Genomic DNA, 5,730 nt, shown 5'->3' on the forward strand with positions numbered 1-5,730 from the left:
TTGTACATTCTATTGTACAATAGTGTATATTCTATTGTACAATTTATCTCAGACAGTTCTCTGTTTTAAGAACCGGGATCAGAGTTCATAGTGAAAAGAGGGGCCGAAGGGGCTTCTTCCTGTCCGGTAACTTCCTCCAAGTGTTCGAGCCTCGACCTTCCCTTTCCGTTGTCAAGCTTGGGCCACTCCGCACCTCTTCCCTTAATCTTCACCTAGAGACCTAAGCTGGGGGTTGGGAAGGGTAGGGGCGGCGGGACTTGGAAGAGCCAGTTTGCAGCCAGCCGGTCGCCTCTCGGGTCCAAACCCGAGGCTGGCCCACGGCGAGTACCCGGGTGGGGCCCTAAACCACAGGAGGGGCCACCTCCAAAAGAAAAGAGAAAACACTCTTGTTTGGGAACAAAAGTGTGTGTGTGGGGTGTGTGTGTGTGTGTGTGTGTGTGTGTGTCTGTTTATTTAAAAACAAAACCACGTTAAAAGAGCTGCCCCTCCCCCACAGGCCCGACCACCCGCCGGGAGTTTGCCAGGAAGAGGGGCAATTCTGAATGGGAGTCGCCAACGCCCCACTGAGTGAAGCCTGTCTCGGAACCGCTCGCCCAGACCCTGGAGGCTCCAGACAGCCAGCTCCCGGACCCCGCGCGCAAACGCTGCGGCGAAGGAGGGGACCCGGGTACCGCCAGAGCCCCGCAGCGGCAGCAGCAGCGCGGACTCCCCGGTCGCTGCCTCTCCCAGCCCGGCGGCCTGGGCCGTCAATCAAGCTGGCCCTGCCCCGCCCTCGGGCTGCAGGGGGCGGCCAATCAGAGCTAAGCTCCGCAGCGATGAGCTCAGCCGGCTGGTTTCCCATTGGACGGCTATATTAAGAAAGTGGCCGGACTCTTTAAATAGCGGGCGCTAGGGCCGCAGCCCTCATCTGCCACCGCAGTCTGGTTGGAGCTGTTGTCTTGTATGCTCAGCGAGGCCCGGAGAGACCCGGGAGAGAGCTAGGCCGAGTCCACCGCCCGAGTCTGCTGCCCGAGCCCGCGTTACGCACAAAGCCGCCGATCCCCGGCCTGGGGTGAGCAGAGCGACCACCGCCCGGGAGCAGCGCGGCGAGACGCACGGTGCGCCCTATGCCCCCGCGCCCCCACCGCCCCCGCCGCGGCAGCCGAAGCGCAGCGAGAGAACGCGCCACCGCGGGGCCCGGGTGCAGCTAGCGACCCTCTCGCCACCTGCGCGCAGCCCGAGGTGAGCAGTGAGCGGCGAGCGGGAGGGCAGCGAGGCGTTCGCGGGCCCCCTCCTGCTGCCCGGGCCCGGCCCGCTCATGGCGGCCATCCGCAAGAAGCTGGTGGTGGTGGGCGACGGCGCGTGTGGCAAGACGTGCCTGCTGATCGTGTTCAGTAAGGACGAGTTCCCCGAGGTGTACGTGCCCACCGTCTTCGAGAACTATGTGGCCGACATTGAGGTGGACGGCAAGCAGGTGGAGCTGGCGCTGTGGGACACGGCGGGCCAGGAGGACTACGACCGCCTGCGGCCGCTCTCCTACCCGGACACCGACGTCATTCTCATGTGCTTCTCGGTGGACAGCCCGGACTCGCTGGAGAACATCCCCGAGAAGTGGGTCCCCGAGGTGAAGCACTTCTGTCCCAATGTGCCCATCATCCTGGTGGCCAACAAAAAAGACCTGCGCAGCGACGAGCATGTCCGCACAGAGCTGGCCCGCATGAAGCAGGAACCCGTGCGCACGGATGACGGCCGCGCCATGGCCGTGCGCATCCAAGCCTACGACTACCTCGAGTGCTCTGCCAAGACCAAGGAAGGCGTGCGCGAGGTCTTCGAGACGGCCACGCGCGCCGCGCTGCAGAAGCGCTACGGCTCCCAGAACGGCTGCATCAACTGCTGCAAGGTGCTATGAGGGCCGCGCCCGTCGCGCCTGCCCCTGCCGGCACGGCTCCCCCTCCTGGACCAGTCCCCCGCGAGCCCGGAGAAGGGGAGACCCGTGTCCCACAAGGACCCCACCGGCCTGCCTGGCATCTGTCTGCTGACGCCTCTGGCTTGCGCCAGGACTTGGCGTGGGCACCGGGCGCCCCCATCCCAGTGTCTGTGTGCGTCCAGCTGTGTTGCACAGGCCTGGGCTCCCCACTGAGTGCCAAGGGTCCCCTGAGCATGCTTTTCTGAAGAGCCGGGCCTCAGAGTGTGTGGCTGTGTGTCTGTTCGACTCCCCTCGCCCCATTTTCACCCCACCCCCGCCTCTGATCCCCGGGGGCGAGATTGGCGCGGGAGTGTGGCCGCGCCCCATCAGATGTTCGCCCTTCACCAGCGGGAGCTTGATATCCCTTGTCTGTAACATAGACCCCGGGTACTGCGGGAGGGGAGGGCTGCTGGGGAGGATGGGGGGATGTTATATAAATATAGATATAATTTTATTTTCGGAGCTAAGATGGTGTTATTTAAGGGTGGTGATGGGTGAGCGCTCTGGCCCAGGCTGGGCCAGACTCCCGCCCAAGCATGAACAGGACTTGACCATCTTTCCAACCCCTGGGGAAGACATTTGCAACTGACTTGGGGAGGACACAGCTTCAGCACAGCCTCTCCTGCGGGCCAGCCCGCTGCGAACCCTCCACCAGCTACCGGAGGGAGGAGGGAGGATGCGCTGTGGGGTTGTTTTTGCCATAAGCGAACTTTGTGCCTGTCCTAGAAGTGAAAATTGTTCAGTCCAAGAAACTGATGTTATTTGATTTATTTAAAGGCTAAAATTTGTTTTTTTATTCTTTGCACAATTGTTTCATTGTTTGACACTTAATGCACTCGTCATTTGCATACGACAGTAGCATTCTGACCACACTTGTACGCTGTAACCTCATCTACTTCTGATGTTTTTAAAAAATGACTTTTAACAAGGAGAGGGAAAAGAAACCCACTAAATTTTGCTTTGTTTCCTTGAAGAATGTGGCAACACTGTTTTGTGATTTTATTTGTGCAGGTCATGCACACAGTTTTGATAAAGGGCAGTAACAAGTATTGGGGCCTATTTTTTTTTTTTCCACAAGGCATTCTCTAAAGCTATGTGAAATTTTCTCTGCACCTCTGTACAGAGAATACACCTGCCCCTGTATATCCTTTTTTCCCCTCCCCTCCCTCCCAGTGGTACTTCTACTAAATTGTTGTCTTGTTTTTTATTTTTTAAATAAACTGACAAATGACAAAATGGTGAGCTTATGATGTTTACATAAAAGTTCTATAAGCTGTGTATACAGTTTTTTATGTAAAATATTAAAAGACTATGATGATGACATTTATAAAATGGCTCTTGTGGTTTAATAGTGTGTAAAAATACCCTTGTGAATTTGGAACAAGGGAGATATTCTCCTAGGCGAGATCCTTTCTTGCCAACTCCGTTTCCCTTATAGCAAATGTAGTAAATGAGGATGAAGTCCCTTTGAGAGCATGTGGGGGTTGGGTGACCAAGGGAGACCAGGTTGTTCCTGTCACATTCCTAGAGGAAGATGAGTGGATACCCCGACACCCAGTGCAAAAACTTTTGACCTATTATGTACTCAGTTCAATTGGGTGAGACCGAAGATCTTGATTTCATTCATCTGTGTGTCTTAAAAACACTTGTGTCTTTAAGTCTATTATGGGGCTTTGCTTATTCTTTGAGTCTTGGAAAGTTATCATTTGTGCATTTTAAATTTAGAAAACCTTTATTAATCGTTGGTGTGGGGTCACGCTATCAGGAAGCCTGTTTACTGGGTTCCCTTCAGGCCATCAAGGGGTTTACACAATATCCCAGGAAGTTGTAGGTTGTTATCTTTGGGCCTGGAGCTTCCAGAAGTGGGGGAGTTCAGATAAAGAGGTGATTTTTTAAAATTATCAAGCTTTGATCCCAATATGTCCTTTATTAAGTAACCTAGAATGATTTATTCTAAGTTCAGAGAAGGGCCATATTGTGGAAAGAACATTGGATGTTTTGGTGGTTCTTAAAGTTGGAGCTGCCACTTTTTGAGAGTCATGATAAACTCTAATCGTAGACACTTAGCTTTGCTGTAATGGTTCTTAGAACCAGACGGGCTGATTTATAGGTGGAGACCACATTAAAATTCTGCTGCAGGCATGATGGTTCAAACCTGCCAGCTCTCGCAGCTTCCAGGGAAGGTAGCTGAGAGTGTCAACTGCCTGAGAAGTGTGGTTTTCATTTTTTTTGAATCAGCATTTTCTGGGTTTCTAGCACTTAGTTGCCACCTTCTCCTTCCCCCTCCTCCCCATTCCCAGGACAAAGGTGGAGGTCTCCTTTGAAGTTGTTTGCTTCAAAGCTTGAGGCTTCTGTTTCCTGGTCTTACCCCAGACTCCAAGAGCTTTTGTTGAGTGAATAAAACCTGGTTGGTGGTGACCTTTCACCCACTTAAATGCTGGCAGTAACTGGACCTCCTGCTCAGCTGGGTGGGTGCATTGACTAACAGAAGGGGATTGTCTGGGCTCCTCCAGGAGCAGAGGGGAGAGGGGTCTATCCAGGCTGCCTGCTTTGAGCAACTGCCTAACTCCTTCCTCAGTCCCTCGGCCCCACTCACCTCCAGACTGCAGTCTCCTTTTTCATTTTAAAGACAAAACTTCCCATCGACAAACAGCATGTTTATTTGCAGCTTTTACAGCTAGCAAATCCTTTGGTACCAGGGAGCGCAGGACCCAGTGGGGGAAGAGTTCAGGCTTGGGCTGAATGCCCAGGACTCAGCTTTGCAACCAGCCAAGAGCCTGGAGGCCCAACTCCCTGAAAGGGCCTTTTCTGGGTTGCTCTGATCTGCCTGGTACCCATAACTGTCTGTGTTTTATATTATGGGCAGACAAACACTCAGATGACGCATGGCAGCCCAAGTTATGCTTGTTTGAAAATGCGTGGCATTTCATAATCCTGCCGGAACACACTCTTCTTGCTGCATTAGGATCCAACTGGAAAACATAAAGATGAATTGCTGTAGGCTGGAAAATCAATTAGGAAAAAGAGGTAAAACATCTGGTGTTACTCTTAGAATATGAAAATTCATTTTGCACATTTAAAATAAATGTGTTGAGTTGATTTAATTGCCTGTTGAACTGTTTCGTGGAAAATACTGGGAAGTTGCATTGATCCTGGGCATTTTGCAGTAAGGGGCATTGTCTTGAGTTCTCCTTTAATCTTAATCTTTAATCAATCTGGATTGTATTTCTAAGGTCTTTTTCACGTGAGTTTCAGTAGACTTGGAACTTCAGTTTTCAAAGTCAAGTGTGTATTAGAATTACACGGAGGGCTGGTTAAAACACAGATGGCTGGGCCTAACCCCACAGTTTCTGATCCAGTAGGTCTGGGCTAGGGCTTAAGAATTTGAATTTGTAGCAAGGTTCTAAGTGATGACAAGCTGCTGGTTGGGACCACACTTTGAGAACTACTGGCTTCGAATAAGGGAGAGTCCTTGTCAGTGTACAGAGTAGGGAGGTGGTTTCCTATGAAAATAGATTAAATTCCACAGACTTATGGTGCTATGCCCTGCAGTCTTGACTTCCTTACACAACGGAGTACATAGCTTCCAGAGAGCTTTCCTTCTAAGATAAGCCACACATAACTCCTATCTTCTCTTCCCTACATTCTTCTGCAAAAATGGGTTTAATGCCCTTCTAGAGATTCATTTCTTTCTTTCCTTTTTAAGAGACAGGGTCTTGCTCTGTCGCCCAGGCTGGAGTGCAGTGGTGCCATCATAGCTCACTGAAGCCTCAACCTCCTGGGCT

General features: G+C 52.0%; 1 protein-coding gene across 1 annotated transcript, besides 3 other annotated features; it reads left to right on the forward strand.

Annotated features, from left to right (window-relative positions):
* Positions 615 to 864: a silencer, noted in NCBI's record as "silent region_11206". NCBI's record gives its function as "represses an Ori minimal core promoter by ATAC-STARR-seq in GM12878 lymphoblastoid cells {active_cell/tissue: GM12878}" and the evidence as "EXISTENCE:reporter gene assay evidence [ECO:0000049][PMID:35858748]".
* On the forward strand, positions 906 to 3,272 carry RHOB (ras homolog family member B). The gene has a single exon (NM_004040.4). The coding sequence runs from the start codon at positions 1,298 to 1,300 to the stop codon at positions 1,886 to 1,888; it is 591 nt and encodes a 196-aa protein (NP_004031.1). The 5' UTR covers positions 906 to 1,297; the 3' UTR covers positions 1,889 to 3,272.
* Positions 1,115 to 1,324: a silencer, noted in NCBI's record as "silent region_11207". NCBI's record gives its function as "represses an Ori minimal core promoter by ATAC-STARR-seq in GM12878 lymphoblastoid cells {active_cell/tissue: GM12878}" and the evidence as "EXISTENCE:reporter gene assay evidence [ECO:0000049][PMID:35858748]".
* Positions 4,033 to 4,594: an enhancer, noted in NCBI's record as "NANOG-H3K27ac hESC enhancer chr2:20649962-20650523 (GRCh37/hg19 assembly coordinates)". NCBI's record gives its function as "activates a minimal SCP1, AML or CMV promoter by ChIP-STARR-seq in naive H9 embryonic stem cells {active_cell/tissue: H9 hESC(naive)}" and the evidence as "EXISTENCE:reporter gene assay evidence [ECO:0000049][PMID:30033119]".

This window comes from Homo sapiens, chromosome 2, assembly GCF_000001405.40.
Source record: "Homo sapiens chromosome 2, GRCh38.p14 Primary Assembly".
NCBI lineage: Eukaryota > Metazoa > Chordata > Mammalia > Primates > Hominidae > Homo > Homo sapiens.

Excerpts from the sequence above, each read along its gene's own strand:
- RHOB (NM_004040.4), top strand. The coding sequence starts at position 1,298 with ATGGCGGCCATCCGCAAGAAGCTGGTGGTGGTGGGCGACGGCGCGTGT.